The sequence below is a fragment of the Homo sapiens genome, chromosome 1 (genome assembly GCF_000001405.40).
Source record: "Homo sapiens chromosome 1, GRCh38.p14 Primary Assembly".
In the NCBI taxonomy this organism is placed as follows: Eukaryota; Metazoa; Chordata; class Mammalia; order Primates; family Hominidae; genus Homo; species Homo sapiens.
Window position 1 is genome coordinate 59,464,485 of NC_000001.11, and position 20,058 is coordinate 59,484,542.

Sequence of the window (20,058 nt, forward strand, 5' to 3'; positions counted from 1 at the left end):
AGATAGCAGAAGGCAAGAAATAACTAAAATTAGCAGAACGGAAGGAGATAGAGACACACACACAAAAAAACCCTTCAAAAAATCAATGAATCTAGGAGCTGGTTTTTTGAAAAGATCAACAAAATTGATAGACTGCTAGCAAGACTAATAAAGAAGAAGACAGAGAAGAATCAAATAGATGCAATAAAAAATAATATAGGAGATATCACCACCAATCCCACAGAAATACAAACTACCATCAGAGAACACTATAAACACCTCTATGCAAATAAACTAGAAAATCTGGAAGAAATGGATAAATTCCTGGACACATACACCTTCCCAAGACTAAACCAGGAAAAAGTTGAATTCCTGAATACACCAATAACAGGCTCTGAAATTGAAACAATATTTAATAGCCTACCAACCAAAAAAAAGTTCAGGACCAGACAGATTCACAGCCGACTTCTACAAAGAGGAGCTGCTACCATTCCTTCTGAAACTATTCCAATCAATAGAAAAAGAGGGTATCCTCCCTAATTCATTTTATGAGGCCAGCATCATCCTGATACCAATGCCTGGCAGAAGCACAACAAAAAAGAGAATTTTAGATCAATATCCCTGATGAACATCGATGCAGAAATCCTCAATAACGTACTGGCAAACCGAATCCAGCAGCACATCAAAAAGTTTGTCCACCATGATCAAGTTGGTTTCACCCCTGGGATGTAAGGCGGTTCCACATATGCAAATTAATTAACATAATCCATCACATAAACAGAACCAAAGACAAAAACCACATGATTATCTCAATAGATGCAGAAAAGACTGACAAAATTTAACAGTACATAATGCTAAAAACTTAATAAACTAGGTATTGATGGAACATATCTCAAAATAATAAGAGCTGTTTATGACAGACCCACAGCCAATATCATACTGAATGGGCAAAAACTGGAAGCATTCCCTTGGAAAACTGGCACAAGACAGGGATGCCCTCTCTCACCACTCCTATTCAACATAGTGTTGGAAGTTCTGGCCAGGGCAGTCAGGCAAGAGAAAGAAATAAAGGGTATTCAATTAGGAAAAGAGGAAGTCAAATTGTCCCTGTTTGCAGATGACATGATTGTATATTTAGAAAACTCCATTGTCTCAGACCAAAATCTCCTCAGCTAATAAGCAACTTCAGCAAAGTCTCAGGATACAAAGTCAATGTGCAAAAATCACAAGCATTTCCTATACACCAACAACAGACAGACAGAGCCAAATCATGTATGAATTCCCATTCACAATTGCTACAAAGAGAATAAAATACCTAGAAATCCAACTTACAAAGGATGTGAAGTACCTCTTCAAGGAGAACTACAAACCACTGCTCAATGAAATAAAAGAGGACACAAACAAATGGAAGAACATTGCATGCTCATGGATAGGAAGAATCAATATCATGAAAATTGCCATACTGCCCAAGGTAATTTATAGATTCCATGCCATTCCCATCAAGCTACCAATGACTTTCTTCACAGAACTGAAAAAAACTACTTTAAAGTTCATATGGAACCAAAAAAGAGCTCACATTGCCAAGACAATCCTAAGCAAAAAGAAAAAGCTGGAGGCATCATGCTACCTGACTTCAAACTATACTACAAGGCTACAGTAACCAAAAGAGCATAGTACTGCTACCAAAACAGAGATATAGACCAATGGAACAGAACAGAGCCCTCAGAAATAACACCACACATCTACAACCATCTGATCTTTGACAAACCTGACAAAAACAAGAAATGGGGAAAGGATTCCCTATTTAATAAATGGTGCTGGGAAAACTGGCTAGCCATATGTAGAAAGCTGAAACTGGATCCCTTCCTTATACCTTATACAAAAATTAATTCAAGATGGATTAAAGACTTAAATGTTAGACCTAAAACCATAAAAACCCTAGAAGAAAACCTAGGCAATACCATTCAGGACATAGGCATGGGCAAGGACTTCATGTCTAAAACACCAAAAGCAATGGCACCAAAAGCCAAAATTGACAAATGGGATCTCATTAAACTAAAGAGCTTCTGCACAGCAAAAGAAACTACCATCAGAGTGAACAGGCAACCTACAGAATGGGAGAAAATTTTCACAACCTGCTCATCTGACAAAGGGCTAGTATCCAGAATGTACAAAGAACTCAAACAACTTTACAAGAAAAAATAAAACAACCCCATCAAAAAGTGGGCAACGGATATGAACAGACACTTCTCAAAAGAAGACATTTATGCAGCCAACAGACACATGAAAACATGCTCATCATCACTGGTCATTAGATAAATGCAAATCAAAACCACAATGAGATACCATCTCACACCAGTTAGAATGGTGATCATTAAACAGGAAACAACAGGTGCTGGAGAGGATGTGGACAAATAGGAACACTTTTACATTGTTGGTGGTAGTGTAAACTAGTTCAACCATTGTGGAAGATAGTGTGGCAATTCTTCAAGGATCCAGAACTAGAAATACCATTTGACCCAGCGATTCCATTACTGGGTATATACCCACGGATTATACATCATGCTACTATAAAGACACGCGTACACGTATTTTTATTGGGGCACTATTCACAATAGCAAAGACTTGGAACCAAGTCGAATTTCCACCAATGATAGACTGAATTAAGAAAATGTAACAGATAGACACCATGGAATACTATGCAGCAATAAAACAGGATGAGTACATGTCTTTTGTAGGGACATGGATGAAGCTGGAAACCATCATTCTGAGCAAACTATCACAAGGACAGAAAACCAAACACGGCATGTTCTCACTCATAGGTGGGAATTGAACGATGAGAACACTTGGACACAGGGTGGGGAATATACACCAGGGCCTGTCGTGGGGTGGGGGAATGGGGGAGGGATAGCATTAGAATAAATATCTAATGTAAATGACAAGTTAATGGGTGCAGCAAACCAACATGGCATATGTATACATATGTAACAAACCTGCATGTTGTGCACATGTACCTTAGAACTTAAAGTATAATAAAAAAAAAACATACAAACCTATTATACTTTTCCCTTCTTAAATTTATCCCTTTCTTTGATCTTACATTTCCCTGTAGGCTACATCTTGTTACTGTAATTCCTTTTATTATAGAGTTACTACAATAATTGTCTTTTACTGCCTCTACTTCCTATGATGACATTACAGTTACACTTTCTTCCCCACCACTGTACTGAAATTAAAAAAATAATAATAAAATGGATTTCCTCCATCCCTATGAGACTGTACTTTGGGTGTCAGATGACAAAAACACAGTCACTTGGCACATTTTAGATACTGATGAAATATTCATTGAATGAGTTAATATATGTTTGAATTAAGGATTTGATTTTTTTTAAGTCCCTTGTTGGCTTCAATTGTTTCTTTCTTGTTTTTTTTGTTTTGTTTTGTTTTGTTTTTTTTTGAGATGTAGTTTCTCTCTTGTTGCCCAGGCTGGAATGCAAGGGCATAGTCTCGGCTCACTGCAACCTCTGCCTCCCGGTTTCAAGTGGTTCTTCTGCCTCAGCCTTCCGAGTAGCTGGGATTACAGGCATGCGCCACCATACCTGGCTAATTTTGTATTTTTAGTAGAGACGGGGTTGCTCTATGTTGGTCAGGCTGGTCTCGAACTCTCGACCTCAAGTGATCCGCCCCCCTCAGCCTCCCAAAGTGCTGGGATTATAGGCATAAGTCACCGCGCCCGACTGGCTTCAATTGTTTCTAAACCACAATGGACTTTCGTAAATTTTTTGAATTAAATAATACTACTAGCTAACAGGCAATGAATGTATTTCCTTAATTCAGTGTTCACTGTCATCTTTCATGAACACCTTCTACATAAGACGGGTCCCTGCAGAAGATACACCCTATGTTGAGTGATAGTGCAATTCTATTTCATTCCTGTAGCAAATCTCTCAGAGACTTTTCTATCTTAGGAAATATCACAGACTCCTTCACAGAAGGAAAACAAGAATTAATCTTAGAAAGGTTGGGCATTTCACTTTTTCATAGAGTAAAATAAACTGAACATTAAATGAAGCTACACTTTAGATATTTTTGTCATGTAGGCTAAAAATTTGTAAGTAAAGAATCTTGGCTGGGCGTGGTGGCTCACACCTGTAATCCCAGCACTTTGGGAGGCCGAGGCAGGTGGATCATGGGGTCAGGAGATCGAGACCATACTGGCTAACATGGTGAAACCCTGTCTTTATTAAAAATACAAAAAATCAGCCAGGTGTGGTCGCGGGCGCCTGTAGTCCCAGCTACTTGGGAGGCTGAGGCAGGAGAATGGCGTGAACATGGGAGGCGGAGCTTGCAGTGAGCCAAGATTGCACCACTGCACTCCAGTCTGCTCCACTGAGCAAGACTCTGTCTTTAAAAAAAAAAAAAAAAAAAAAGGATCTTGACTAATGAACTAATGATAGGTATATGCTGGGGACATAAATGTGCCAGTGAACAGAGCCACCTCAGGCAAGGGTGCAGTATTGGCTTTGGTCACACTGAATCAAAGTTCAGGGATCTTCTGCCTCTTGTTGGAATCTGGCTAGACTTTGGAACCTGCACAATACTGACTTATCCACCCACTGGCTGGCCAAGAAGCTGAGACAAAGAGAAAAGAAGCCACCTATACTTGCCTGAAGCAAGCTGCACTTGATCAGATTGATTCATGAACTCAGAGCCCACAGGCCTGAGTACAGGTGGCTCAAGAAGAAAGTATTAGTTCTTTTCTGCTGCTATAACAGAATACTTGAGGTTGGGTGATTTATAATCAGCAGAGATTAATTCAGCTCATGGTTCTGGAGGCTGCAGTGCCCAAGGGTGCCGATAACTTCTGGGCATCTGATAAGGGCCTTCTTGCTGCATCATCCCATGGCAAAGGGTGCAAGAGTGTGGGACTGCACACACAAGAATGAGAGAGGGCAAGAGGGGGCTTGGCTTTATCAGAAGTGCCTCCTAAGACAATGGCATTAATCCATTCATGAGGGCAGAGCCCTCATGGCTTAATCACATCTTAAAAGTCTCACCTTTTAATACTGTCATAATGGCAATGAAATTTTAACATGACTTTTTGTTTTAATATGCTGAGCTTTTATTCATATTTTTTTTTAACTTTTAAGTTCAAGGGTAGAAGTGCAGTTTTGTTACATAGGTAAACTTGTGTCATGGGGGTTTGTTTTACATATTATTTTGTCACCCAGGTATTAAGCCTAGTACCCGTTATTTTTCCTGATCCTCTTCCTCCTCCCACCCTTTGTCCTCCACCCTCCCAAAGGACCCAGTGTGTGTTATCCCCCTCATTGTGTCCGTGTGTTCTCATTCTTTAGTTCCCACTTAAAAGTGAGAACATGTGATATTTGGTTTTCTGTTCCTGTGTTAGTTGCTAAGAATGATGGCCTCTAGCTCCATCCATGTCCCTGCAAAGGACATGATCTTGTTCTTTTTTTATGGCTGCATAATAGTCCATGGTGTACATGTACCACATTTTCTTTATCCAGTCTACCATTGATGGGCATTTAGGTTGATTCCATGTCTTTGCTATTGTGAACAGTGCTGCAGTGAACATACATGTACATGTGTCTTTATAATAGAATGATCTATATTCTTTGGGGTATATACCCAGTAATGAGATTTCTGGGTCAGATGGTATTTCCATCTTTAGGTCTTTGAGGAATCGCCACATTGTCTTCCACAATGGCTGAACTATTTCACACTCCCACCAACAGTGTATCAACAGCGTTTAAGTATTCCCTTTTCTTCACAACCTCACCAGCATCTGTTATTTTTTGACTTTTTAATAGCCATTCTGACTGGTGTGAGATGGTATCTCATTGTGGTTTTGATTTGCATTTCTCTAATGATCAGTGATGTTGACCTTTTTTTCATATCAATATGACTTCTGAAGGGGACATTCAAACCATCACAGAGATACATGCCAAGCCTTCATGAACTCCACTTCAGGACTGTGGCCCCACTTCCCATTTAACACGGCCTCATGGATACTATTATACAATCTTTTCAGTCTCAGGGATCCAGCTAAGTGATTCCTTCTCCCATGGATGGAATAAGGGAGATTATAAAAGCAGGAAATGGGAGCATTCACACCAATACTACCTCATTTTAGGGGAAAGAAGAGGAAATTCCCTTTTGTAAACAAACCATAGAGGTTTCCACCAACAACATGCATTATGTCCAGTGCTGGAAGCCTGAATCCAGTGATGCCATCCATAGTTGTGGGTGTTGTAAAATCCTTTTAGAGCAATTAATATTCAATGTTCTGAATTTTTCCAGTAAAAGTGGACATGTTTACAAGGATTCATGTCTTCATTCTTTATAGTGTGTGGCTTGTTTTTCATTTTGATTTGAATGAGCCATATAATTCAGTTATTTCTGTCCTCAGAGCTTTGCTGAAGTGCTGCTTCATCTTTGTATCATGTGATATAAGTGCCAATTTTACTAATTTATATTGAGAGCTCTGGAGAAATCTTTAACTACAGGTAATCCCAGCCTTTTCTAGGTTAAATGGGGCCCATCACACCATTACCTCCCCTCTCCTGAGGGAGGCTTATATGGTTTGCCTCTGCATCCCCACCCAAATCTCATCTCAAATTGTAATCCACACATATATCAAGGGGGAGACTTGGTGGGAGGTGATTAGATCCTGGGGGCTGTTTCCCCAATGCTGTTCTCTTGATAGTGAAGGAGTTCTCAGAGATCTGGTTGTTTGATAAATGTTTGGCATTTTCCCTGCTTGTTCTTGCTCTCTCCTGCCTTCCTTCCCCCTCTCCTTCCACCATGATTCTAAGTTTCCTGAGGCCTCCCAAGCCAGGTGGAATGGTGAGTCAATTAAACCTCTTTTCTTCATAAATTACACAGTCTCAGGTATTTCTTTATAGCAATGTGAAGATGGAGTAATATAGAGGCCATCCCTGTGGGTACTCTGGACTGAGATTTGCTTTTGCCTGTCACCCTGAGCTTTTGATCTTACCTTATCCTCTTATTATCCTTCTCTTCCCTGTCTAAGTGACAGAACCAGGTCTTCACAGTACTTGAAGGCAAGTACCTATCCTCTGAGTATTGATGCCTTATTTTACTCTTTAGTATCGAATTTCTGCCTGATAAAGAATGACTTGGAGGTCTCCATGCCAGTTAGCCATCCATCCAGTCATGCATCCAGCCAACCACACTCCCCAAGTGTCTCCTGTGTGCCAGGTGCTGGGCTAAGTCCTAGGGATACAAAAGTGAATTCATCATGGTCTATCCCTTTGGGGATCTCATGTCTACTAGGGGTAGGGGCAGGTAAATGAATCAGTAATCTCAAGGTTTTTCAGTAACTCTACAGATGTCCAAGATGCCATGGAGAAGCAGAGCAGGCAGTCACTGGCACTGGTGGTGGTATCAAGGAAATTTTCTCATGAGGTGGCATTTTATGTGTCTGGAAAATTGGAGTGGTAGTGAGAAGTGACAGCGTGCTGGCAGTCCTCACAGCCCTCGCTCGCTCTCCGCGCCTCCTCTGCCTGGGCTCCCACTTTGGCGGCACTTGAGCCCTTCAGCCCGCCGCTGCACTGTGGGAGCCCCTTTCTGGGCTGGCCAAGGCCGGAGCCGGCCCCCTCAGCTTGCGGGGAGGTGTGGAAGGAGAGGCGCGGGCGGGAACCGGGGCTGCGCGCAGTGCTTGCGGGCCAGCGTGAGTTCCGGGTGGGTGTGGGCTCGGCGGACCCCGCACTTGGAGCGGTCGGCCGGCTCCACCGGCCCAGGGCAGTGAGGGGCTTAGCACCTGGGCCAGCAGCTGCTGTGCTCAATTTCTCGAGGGGCCTTAGCTGCCTTCCCGCGGGGCAGGGCTCGGAACCTGCAGCCCGCCATGCCTGAGCCTCCCCCTGTTCCGTGGGCTCCTGTGGGGCCCGAGCCTCCCTGACGAGCGCCGCCCCCTGCTCCACGGAGCCTAGTCCCATCGACCACCCAAGGGCTGAGGAATGCGGGCGCACGGCGCGGGACTGGCAGGCAGCTCCACCTGCAGCCCCGGTGCGGGATCCACTGGGTGAAGCCAGCTGGGCTCCTGAGTCTGGTGGGGACATGGAGAACCTTTATGTCTAGATCAGGGATTGTAAATACACCAATTGGCACTCTGTATCTAGGTCAAGGTTTGTAAACACACCAATCGGCACCCTGTGTCTAGCTCAGGGTTTGCGAATGCACCAGTCCACACTCTGTATCTAGCTACTCTGGTGGGGACTTGGAGAACCTTTGTGTGGACACTCTGTATCTAGCTAATCTGGTGGGGAGGTGGAGAACTTTTGTGTCTAGCTCAGGGATTGTAAATACACCAATCGGCTCTCTGTATCTAGCTGAAGGTTTGTAAACACACCAATCAGCACCCAGTGTCTAGCTCAGGGTTTGTGAATGCACCAATCAACACTCTGTATCTAGCTACTCTGGTGGGGACTTGGAGAACCTTTGTGTCTAGCTCAGGGATTGTAAACGCACCAATCAGCACTCTGTCAAAACAGACCACTCGGCTCTACCAATCAGCAGGTTGTGGGTGGGGCCAGATAAGAGAATAAAAGTAGGCTGCCCGAGCCAGCAGTGGCAACCCACTCGGGTCCCCTTCCACACTGTGGAAGCTTTGTTCTTTCTCTCTTTGCAATAAATCTTGCTGCTGCTCACTCTTTGGGTCCACTTTGCCTTTATGAGCTGTAACACTCACTGCAAAGGTCTGCAGCTTCACTCCTGAAGCCAGCGAGACCACGAACCCACCGGGAGGAACGAACAACTCCAGACGCGCCGGCTTAAGAGCTGTAACACTCACCGCGAAGGTCCGCAGCTTCACTCCTGAGCCAGCGAGACCACGAACCCACCAGAAGGAAGAAACTCCGAACACATCTGAACATCAGAAGGAACAAACTCCGGACACGCCACCTTTAAGAACTGTAACACTCACCGTGAGGGTCCGCGGCTTCATTCTTGAAGTCAGTGAGACCAAGAACCCAGCAATTCTGGACACAGTAGTTTACCAGAAAAGAGGGGAAATGGCTTCCAAGGCAGAAGAAACAGTGCAGGCACAGACATGGAGGCATGGAAGAGTGCAGAGTGTGTGTGAACTGTTGGGTGTGGCCAGAGCATAGTGGACCTGAAGCAAGGTGGAGAGGAGTAGTTGTGGGCAAGATAGAGTTTATGGGGGGCTAGTTTCTGATGGAACTTCTAACTTTCCTCAAAGATGGGGCCACCGATTAGAGACTCAACATGGCAGGAGTCACTCTATTCCTTTCAAGAGATGGTTCTAATTACTACTCCTGCCAATGCAGTAAATAACACTTGAGGGCAGTAGGAGCCATTTTAGAATATTTGTGGCTCCTATGAAGCTGTTTGTGTGTCGGGGCAGGTGGCAAGCCCATTTCTTTTCTTTTCTAAAGTCACATACCTTGCCCCTTAGCTATCCTCCCTTCCATAAAGGTTTGTTGTGAAGCTGGAATGTGATATCAGATGTCACAGGGCAGTGTGGTTTACGAAGCCTGTAGAAATGTTCTTACCAACTGTAAGTACACCTTGGCACCTGGAGGACAAGAATATTCACTCCTGCATCACTCTGTTCCAACTGTGTTCACACTCCTTAGATTCGCAGAAGGACTGTTTTCAGCTGCTGGCCCTTCCAGGAATAGCCCTAAAGAGCCAGAAGGGCAAAGGAGTAACATTGACCACATCATGGTGATACAAGGTAATAACTTTCAGAGGTTTTGCTGTGGAAATGTTCCTCCTTTCAATACGGCATCTGAAAGATAATTGGAAGTCCCCCAAAAGTGAGGTCACCCCCAACTTCTCTTCCTACTGCTGGAGAATCAGCGATTGTCAGAGCTGAAAGGGATCATAGAGATTTTACTGTAATGCACTCATTTTATAGACAAAAAACTGAGACTCAGGGATGTGAGGTGAATTTCCTTGGTCCTGCAGCATTTTAATGACAGAAATGAGACCAGAAACCAGGTCTTCTGACTCTTAGTCCTGTGGTGGTTCTACTCCTTCCTGCCACTTCTCCTGTTTGAGTTTTTTGGCAATGTGAGGACATTTAGCCAATCTGGATACTGACATTTGAATGAAGCTAACCACTAGAAGAATGTCAAGGAGGGAACGATTTACATAGGTAAATTTACCCAATCCATTGTCCAATCTTCAGTCATGCAAATGTAGGAACTGGACTTTGCCCAAGTCAGAGACCTTTGGATCTAGGAACACACTGATCAAGCCCTTAAGTGACTGATGTAGATAAACGAGAATAAATAAGTAATAAGTTCACAGTTGCCTATGGTAATAGTTAAGAGATTGGTCACCAGGGTCAGATGGACTTGACTTCAATTCTGACTGTCATCTGTAATGAAATTTCTGCCATATGTAACTTTGGGTGAGTTACTTGATCTTTCTCAGCCTCAATTAGTATATTATGAAGATTAGTAAGTATATCATGAGGATGAAAGGTAATAATGCAGGTAAAGTTCCTAGCATACAATAGGTCTTCAGAAAATGAAAGTTCTTACTACTATAATGATTGTCCATTCCTCTGAATTCAGATTTCTCTCTAGGTGATAGATTATCTGCCAAAGACCATAACCCCTTGAATAATCCCAGGTAATTATTGCCAACTTCTAGATTTGGAATTTTTCCTTTTTTCTGAGCTTCTTCCTTGGATTCACACAACCTTTTTCCAACCAAGATACAATAAGATTAATTAGATTTCTGCTTCTAAATTATAATCACATTTCATAATCACAAACCTTCCTTGAGAGGCATCTTAATTGGAATTAAGGGTTTTCCTGAATTCGTCAGGTCCACATGACTGGCAATCTTTAGCTTTTTTTCCATGAATAGAGGGGTGCATATCCACAGGCAAATAAAAAAAATACAGGATATGTTGGTTAACAATTAACTAGTTAATTAATAATGGCTAATGTTCCTACAGTGCTTTACAACTTAGAAGAGTTTTTCTTTTCATGCACTATTGTGCTTTTTTCTTCCACCAAACTTGTAAAATAGGTTTGATTTCAGTTTTACACTTGGGGAAGCCAGGATTGATGAGCTTTGGTCTTTTCCATCTCAGTAGAAGGTGTCACAATTCTCCCTGTCATTCAGGACCCAAACCTAGAAGTCATTCTTAATGCTTCTCTTCTTCCTCTTACACCTTACATTTAATCCATCAACAAGTACTTTCTGCTTTGCTCCAAAGTGGACCCGGAATGAGGCATTCCTGCCCCTCTTCACTATTAGTATCGTAGTTCAAAGTAGTTTTATTTCTTGCTGGATTTGTGTGCTAGCCTCTTAAATGGTCTCCCTGTTTCTGTCCTTCCCTCTGATAATCCATTCTCCACACAGCAGCCAGAGTGATATTTTAAAAATGTAAATCAGATCATGTTACTCTCCTGCTTAAATTCCTCCAGTGGCTCCCCATTGCAGCTGGGAAAAAAATAACTCCTTGCCATGTTCAACAAAGTCTTGCGTGATCTCTGTCTGACTTTTATTGCTTACCATGCCCCCACGTAGTCACCATCCAACCACAATGACCTTCTTTTTGTCCCTCAGACATTTCCAGTGTATATAGCTTTTGCGTTAACTCTGCCTTCTGTCTGGCATGGCCCTTCTCAAAATATTCACATGGTCTACCTCTTTCTCTTTGTTCAGATCTCAGCTTCAATGTCATCAGAGAAGAGCTTTCCCTTACCACCCAAACACTCTCTTCTACTCCAGCAGTATTCTGTTTCCCTGTTGTATTTTATTCTTAACACTCATGACTATCCAAAATTAATCAGTCTTGTCTGGATGCTTTATAGGTATTAACTCGTTTAATGCCTTTAACCAGTCTAGACAGGTACTACTATATTCATTTTACTGATGAGGAAATTAAGGAAAGGAGAGGTTAAGTAAGTTGCTCAAGGTCACACAGTAAGTAATGGAATCAGAGACAGGTCTGCTCCAGATCCTGCACATCTGTCCATGTAGCTGCAGTCTCCTGGCCTGGGCTGCGCTGATACAGCTGCAGTTCTCAGACTAAGTTCAACAAGAGTCCCAGTCCTAGTCCAGTGATGCCTGAAGTCACATGTTTCATTCTGGGCCTCACATTCATGAAGACCACTGACAAAAAGGCCCCAGGGCCCCAGATGAAAAACATAATTTAAAGCCAGTGAATTTGAGAAGCAGTTGAGCAGTTTTGGGTTTTCTCATCAAATTACCTGCCCAATGTCAAAATATTAGTAAATTATAGATCTAGATTTTAATTGAGTGTTGTCTGACATTCCCTTCCTCAGTGCTGACTTGAGATTACTCAAGATGACAGAAGAAAAGTGCTGCCTCAGAGGTTCTTTCCTCCCTCTCTGTCTTTGAAAAAGCACAGGGAGAAGAGGGCTGAAGATGTGACTGTCCAGTAATTGGAACCATCTCGGCTCCTCTGAAATTCTAGGAGAAGAATAAGTGAACAGTATGATATCTTGCAAAGCTTCATGTGCCTTAATCACATTAAAATTCACAATTCAGTTTTGGATTTATTTTTCCTTGTTTTTTGAAAGTTATTGACTTGGGACTTGCTTCTGGATCTCAGTTGGACATCTGACCTCATGCCATTATTGTCATCCATTTAGAGGTCATTTATTTCAGTGTTCTTGAAAGGCAGCCATTCCCAGTGGTTGGCCTTCTCTATTGCATGTGACACATCGCAGCTCTTCTGCTTAGCTTTTCTTGGTCACACAGCTATCAGGTGGTGACTTTGGCCTCCAATGTGGCCCTTACCTCTGACTTTGTAGCTCCTCTGCAGTACTCTTCACTCTGGTTCTGTGGAGTTTTGACTCCGAGATACCCATGACCTTTTAAGTTTCCCAGCACCAGCTAACCTTTCTGAGAATCTGCATCAGAGGGCTGCAGTGGTCAGGGTGGCAGGTCACCAGTTGACTAATGGCCTCCTCCAAGGTTTGCTGGCAGACACTGCGTTGCCATGAACCCTATTGATCCCAGAAGTTTGCCTGCTGCTTAGACAGTCTTTGCGGGCGTGAGGAGGTAGTGAGTCATGGAGCCACCACCCCTGCTACCCATCTGTTCTTGTGGTGAGGAGAACAAAGATGATCTCTTTGTGGTATCATAAAACCTAGAAAGACATTAAAAATTCCGTTAAATTTTCATACGCTTTTAGCTGTTGAAATGTACAATCTATTATGAGGGGGGAAAAACCCACTGTAATTTTCCCCCCACTGCCCTTACTTCAGAGGCTACTTAAGGGACCAGGTAATGATTTTACGATGTTTATTAATACTTCATGTTCTGCTTCCCTCCCCCATTCATTTATCTTTAAATTGAAAGCACAGAAACTGCCAGGGATCTTTAAAATCCAGAGTTTTTGCAATGTCATAGGTTGTTCTGTTATGGATATTGTATGTAGAGATCTATTGTTGACTCAGAGCTGGGGATGGGGTTGGGGGTGGTATTTATTTTTAAAATGCACTTTGGAGTAATGGAAATAACATGAGTTTTGGAGCCAGATATACATGAGTTTGAATCCTGGCCCTGCCATTTACTACCTTTGTGACCAGTATCAAACAAGTTACCTAACCTCCGAAGGCCACTCAGTTCAACCACTTGCCAGATTGGGAAAGTAATACCTCTCTCTGAGAATTTGGATGACCTCAAACAGAGACCTCTCAATGCAGGCCTCGTGGGAACAATCTTATCTTATCCGGATATCCAGATAATTTTTAGTTTTTCTTAGTTGTTCTGAGTAATTACTTTTATTTTCTCTGTCTCTCGTGGGTATCATGTGGAGTAACTGTCAAGATATCCCTCACCCCTTTGGTTGCTTGAGAATTGACAGCATATTGAAGCCTCATCTATAGTAGATTTATAAACTATGGTATAAAGCTATAACCTCACCTCAATTTATTTTGTTCCCATGTTTGGTTTATTTAATCTTTGATCCCACTTACCTCATTTTATATTTGCCTACTAGTTATAAGCTGTCTGAAACATTTTATAACATAGCATGTAGAAATATGTCTGGAACATAGTAGGTACTCAATAGATATTTGGTAAATGAATGAATAAGTAAGCATTAGAGATACAGATACAATATGTTTCAGAGGATAATTAAATAAAAGAGGGCAAGATAATGAGTTTGTGCCTTTGAGATATCCAAATAAAAACATAGAGTAGACATTTGGATCTATGCTAGGAAAAAAGGCTAGAAATAGAGATTTGGAAGTCATAAGTGTAGATGATATTTGAAGCCATAGATATGTGTGAGAGACTCTAGAGGGAGAAGAGAAATTTCAGTACTTTAGAGGCCAGGTAGAGGAAGATGTGCCTGCAAAGGAGGCTAAGGATGTACCTGCCAAGGGCAGGGAGATAATGAGGAGATTTTACAAGGGGAGGGAACAATCTCCAAGGATGCTGAAAAAGGAAGGGAGATAAGGACTGGACACTGTTCATTTGATATAGTGACTCGGGGACCTTAGTGAAAGTCACTTGCTTATAATAGTGAGGCAGAAGATAAAAGTCGTACAGCAGCCACAGCTAACACTGAGCACAGATGCTGTGCCAAGTGCTTAATGTGGACTGTTACATTACAACAACATGAGATGTGTAGTCATCTCACCCCATTCCCATTTTTTACAGAGGATAAAAATGAGGCATAAAGAAGTTAATCACCCAAGGTCATATAGCTGGGTTCAAGCCAAGACAGGTGTCAGGACTCAGAGTCACAGTTGAGAAAATGAAGCCAGAAAGTTTAGATAACTCAAGAAATTTGGTCAGAGTGTGGGGGGAGAGAGAGAGAGATGGGGTGGTCACTAGGGGAGGAAGACGGTTGGAAATAGGTAGAGTGTTCCACTGTTTGGTTGATTGATTGTTGGAAGATGGAGATTTGCTTGAGCATGTCTGATTGCTGATAAGAAGATTCTAGTAGTGAGTGATGGGTTGCTGATACCCAGAGAGAAGGGAGAATCAGTACTGTGGGTCCAGAGAAGACAGGCAGGATTAGCCTTGGAATACAGACTTTCTATTTTAATAGGTAGGAAGAAGACAAAAATGGTACAGCTCATGGGAGCAGCATGTGCTCGGAAGTGGGAAGTTAAGGGATTTCCCTTCATGAGGCTTCTGTTTTCTTTGTGAAGTAAAAAGTGAGATGATCTTCTGACAGAGTGGTAGCCAAGTGAGAGAGTCAGAATCTGTAAAAAATGGAAAAGGTTTAAAATAGAAGTACAGAGGATCGGGGAAAAGATGATTAGAGAAATCTTGGAGGATTATCAAACGGTACACAGAACCCTGCTTAGGGGTCGCCATGAATTTATTATAAATCTGCCCTGTGGTGTGATTTTCTCCAGCAGCACTCAGCATCTGGTTGTAAGCACACAGGAAAGGGTTGTTCTTTTGTTTTATTAATCTTAATGAATAGCAGTAGTCTGTTCTGCAAGTCCTTGACACCACCCTCTTTTCTATATGCTGTATCTAATCTGTTACCAAGTGCTGTCAGTCTTAGGCTCCAAATACGTCTATAATTCATGAACTCTTTCCACCTCAAAATGCTACCTAGCCTGTGTTCCCATAATCTCGCAACTGGATTATTCAACAGGCTTATAACACTTGTCATTGAATGGAAACTTGCCTTTTTCAGTCCATCCTGAACACTGCAGCCAGCATGAACTTTTTATAATGAAAATCTAATCTAATCCTGTGACCTCCCAGCATAAACCTTCTCAAGTCTTCCCAATGCTTTTAGGGCAAAAACCAAAAACCCGAATTATGGTCTCCCCTCCTTCTGGCACCACTGTTTTCATTGATCTCTGACCTCAGTTGCCCTCTTTTGGTTTTCTGCACACGACACCCTTCTCACCGCAAGATCTGCTCTCATGGTCTTGTTTTGCTTCCAGTATCGAGTCCATGTTCCAGGAAGAAGGACAAGGACAAAGGGCAAAAGTATGGACTTTGCTTCTGTTCCAGTGTTAACTCTGAAACCTCACTCGGTCTCTTCTGCCTACATGTCAATGGCCAGAACCGTATTACATACTACTACCTGCAAGGGAAGCTGGGGAAAGGTCCATTTTTTGCCAGTCACATTTCAGCCTTCAATAAAATGAGAGTTGTGTTATTTAAAAAGAAGAGGAGGAGGGGCACTAGGTAAGCAACCTGGAGTCCCACCTTCAATGAGGAAGTGTTTTCTAGGTGAAGAGTTGAGTGAAGGAGATGCTGACAGAAGTGACAGCATGAATACAGTTTAGTGCTGAGCAATATGATGTGGGAAGAAGGTGCTGGAACACTGAGTTTGAGGCAGGGAAAAGGGAGGGAGGAAACAGAGAAGTAGGCAGGGATCAAAAAATCATAATGCCCTTCTATTCCAGCTGAGGAACTTAAACTTCATCCCGTGTGTTAGCCTCTAAATGAGGTCTTATATGCCAGGTGATGTCAAGCAAGATGGTCTACTGGGTATAGACAAAAATGTTGGTATTTTTATTTATCTCCATTTTTATTTCATTTTGTTTAAATTCTATTTTTAGGTATGCATCTTGACATACACACATATAATTTATAAGTTCAATAGTACATTATATACAATTTATAAGTAATAGCTATGTTGGGAGTCCATCTGAAGACTTTTTTCTTAGTGACTTGCACAGTCAAAATGTTTAGAAACTATTGCATTAGGCATCAGGGAACTGTTAAAACATTTTAAACAAGGAAATGATGTGATCCAAATTGAATATGGTCCAATTTGCCTTTTCTTTCCCCTATAGAGTTCTTTAAATTTTTAAAAATTTTAGAATGTTAGTACTTAGAAAGAAACATTAGGGAGCATCAACCCTGTGTCATAAGTAAGATAACTGAGGCCCAGGAATATTAAATAATTAGAACCATTAATTTGTGGCTGAGCTGGAGCCCCATCCAACCTGGGTCTCATCTTCTCCCAGTGGTCCTTTGTGGCCCTGTGCGAGTGCTTTCTCTCTTCCTGAATGCATGTCCCTATTCTTCAGCAAATACTCTTCTCATCAGAATTATGACATGTGGGAATCAAGAGGGGAGTAAAAGGGCATATTTATAAAAAACGTGGAAACCAAGAAATCTGTTTTGTAAAAATGAATCACCTATTTAGCCTCAGGGTTCTGTTGACTCTTTAGCTGTCAACATGGAAGTCTCTAGGTACCGATTCCTGCAGGTTCTGTTTTCATAATGCCAGACCCATCAGCAGTTTAACTGAGACATACCGTTGTACAATGTCATTATTTTAGGTATTGTATTTGCAAGGCCAGCGGTCTAAGTAAGAGATTAAACTGAACAGATTTCTGACTTGGTAAGACAGAGACTTTCTAAGGGGTACACTGCCCCACTTTATCTTACCCCAGTGTATATGAAGAAACACATGTTTACCCATGGGAATGTGTATGTATTTGGATCTATTTCACAGAGTATCTTATAAAAACCGACATGAAAAGAAAGTCTGATTTATAGAATCCTATTTCCTGACATTGTGAATACTAGTTCAGGACTTTGCTAACTACTTTTTGACCAGTGTGACTGATTTATTTCCCCATGCCATCATCAACCCAGCTATGCAAGTACAGGAAGACAGGGTATCTAATAACCAGATGGTGAACAAGATCTGTATTCTCTTGGGTATACTAAGCTATTCTGAAAATTCAGTTTATAGGGGTACAGACTAAGGGTTATATATCTCCAAACAAATGTGTTTGTCAAGTTGATGATCATGTTTACCAAGATCCTTTTATCACCAGCTGAGTCCTCTTTTAGTGGCTTAGGTCACCCTGGAATTATTTCAAAAACCAGCCTGATGTTTAGAACCTCCTGTGGGCTCGGGCTTGCCAGACACAAACCTAAAATGAAGCCTGTAGCCTTCATGGTAGCAAACTGTAACCTCAAGCACAATTATATGAATCATGGACAAATGTTTTCACTTTCAAGCAAGTTTTTGCCGCAGCAAAAATGACCACTTATCTAAGAGGCTGCATATTTATATATATATAAACAGTTTTTGGACATAAGAATCTTGACTATTATTTCCCACAGAGAATTACAGATTTATATATGTGTGTCTATGTGTATATATATGTGTGTGTGTGTGTGTGTGTCTGTGTGTGTATATATACATATGTGTGTGTGTGTGTCTGTGTGTATATATATATATATATAAACACCATATTCTGTGTCTTTTATATATAGTATCACTTGATTATTATAATTACCATGAAGTGCCATTGTTCTTCTCATTTTATAGGTGAGGAAACTGAAGCTCAGAGAGGTGAAATAACATCACAAAGCTAAGAGGTTGTAAATTTGGCACTTTTAAAATTATCTAGTTATTACAAAAGTTGATCTTCAGATCAACAAACTTAACTGACATTTCCTTTTTGGGCCCCATTTTCTACTCTGTGAACTGAGGAGGATTGAATTCAGTGATTCTCAAACCAGAGCATACGTCAGAACCACCTGGGGGGATTCTTAAAACACTGATTCCTGGGCCTGCTTAGAGTTTCTAAATCAGAAATTCTCTGGAGCGATTAAGAACTGGTGTTTCCAATAAGTTCCCAAGTGGTGGTTCCCAGCCACACTTTGAGATCCATTGGAGTAGATGATCTCTCAGTGTCTTCCAGCTGTTACATCCTGGAGGGTCAGCAACCTGCCATACTTCATTGGTGTGTGACCAAAAATACTGCTTCTTCATGGAGTGACTTTCCTACTACTTTTGCCAAGTTTGTTGGTTAGCCAGGAAAATTCTCAACATGAATGGAGGAAAATGCTGATGAAAATCACTCCTTCCTGTATTTATTAACTCATTTGCCAGACTAATATTTACTGAGTATACCCTTTGCAGATATTGTGCTACATACTGGAGATAGCACATGTGAAGATACTCAGCCCCTGCCTGCGAGATGCCTATCAACTATGGAGAAAACAGATGATTAATTTATTGTTATTACTAAAAGGGAAGTGCTGAGACCTATGAGAATAAAATACTTCTCTAGGATTTGTGATTATGACTTCAAACTTTTCCTAAACAGGACTATTTTCTACTGTGGTCTTAAGTCATAAATTGTCTATTCTCTGTATCTAGTTCGATTCTGTTCTTAGCTTTTTGAGGTATTTCTTTATTGGGACAGGTCAGTAAGTGGCATTTTCATTTATTTTTTACCAACCTAAGCATTTCCTTCCTGCCCTAGATGAAAACTTAGCTTTGTTCAAAATTTGCATTTTCATTTTTAGCCTATGGTGACAGTTTAAATCAACAGCAAAAGCAGAAACCCTTGTCTAAAGCAATTTCCTCACTGTTATTCCAACTTCAGTGAAATGAGAAGTCCTGGGGAGATGAATTCAGACTGTCTTCTCTACTCCCACCCCTTCTCCTAACAGTTTGGCTTCTTGAAAAAAAATAAAAGATGAAGGAAGCAGGGGTCTTGAAGGGAAGATGTCTACTGTAAAAAAAATAGGGAAAGGAAATAGTGTACTGATAATGGTTATCATTTGTTGAGTGTGCATTATATGCCAGGGACTGTCGCCAAACATTGTACATGAATTAGCAGGTAAACTTCCCCAGTAACCAATGAGGTACAGGTACCATTATTATCTTCCTTTTACAGATATGGAAATTGAAGCTCACAGAGGGTAGATAACTGTCCCAAAGTCTCATGGTTATTTGATGGAGGAACAGGAATTCAAAAGCAGGCCTGACTCCAAAATCTCATGCTTTTTACCAGTAAATTAGATCTCCAGTCATTTCAATCCCTGCATTTTTCATAGGGATGGTGCTGACTCATTTGGCTTCCTGGTTTTCTGACTCATCTCACTGAACAGGGCCAGATCCGATATGTCTTCTGCATTCTCCCTTATATCATCTTTCTCCCTGCTCCCTTTTCTATTATGGTCCACCTACTCTATCATCTTCTTTCCATGGGCCTTAAAGGAATACCTTCTTGTGGACTGTCTCTGTGATGCAGTAGAAATCTGGTAAGCTTGCCAGGGTGTAAAAAGTGCATTTGTTTAGGACTGTAATGTTTATTTGAAAGGGACTTTCAATCACAGACA

At 41.5% G+C, this 20,058-nt stretch overlaps 1 protein-coding gene across 58 annotated transcripts in view; it reads left to right on the forward strand.

Annotated features, from left to right (window-relative positions):
* Nucleotides 1-20,058, forward strand: part of FGGY (FGGY carbohydrate kinase domain containing) — a 466,353-nt gene that overhangs the window by 168,107 nt on the left and 278,188 nt on the right. Inside the window, exon 1 of one of the 58 annotated variants that reach the window (XM_047424401.1) lies at nucleotides 9,636-9,718. The exons of the other annotated variants lie outside the window; for them this stretch is intronic. Coding sequence (XP_047280357.1) covers nucleotides 9,706-9,718 — 13 coding nt within the window. The 5' untranslated portion in view covers nucleotides 9,636-9,705. Of the gene's footprint in view, nucleotides 1-9,635; nucleotides 9,719-20,058 lie in introns of those variants that run through there. 58 annotated transcript variants of the gene reach the window in all.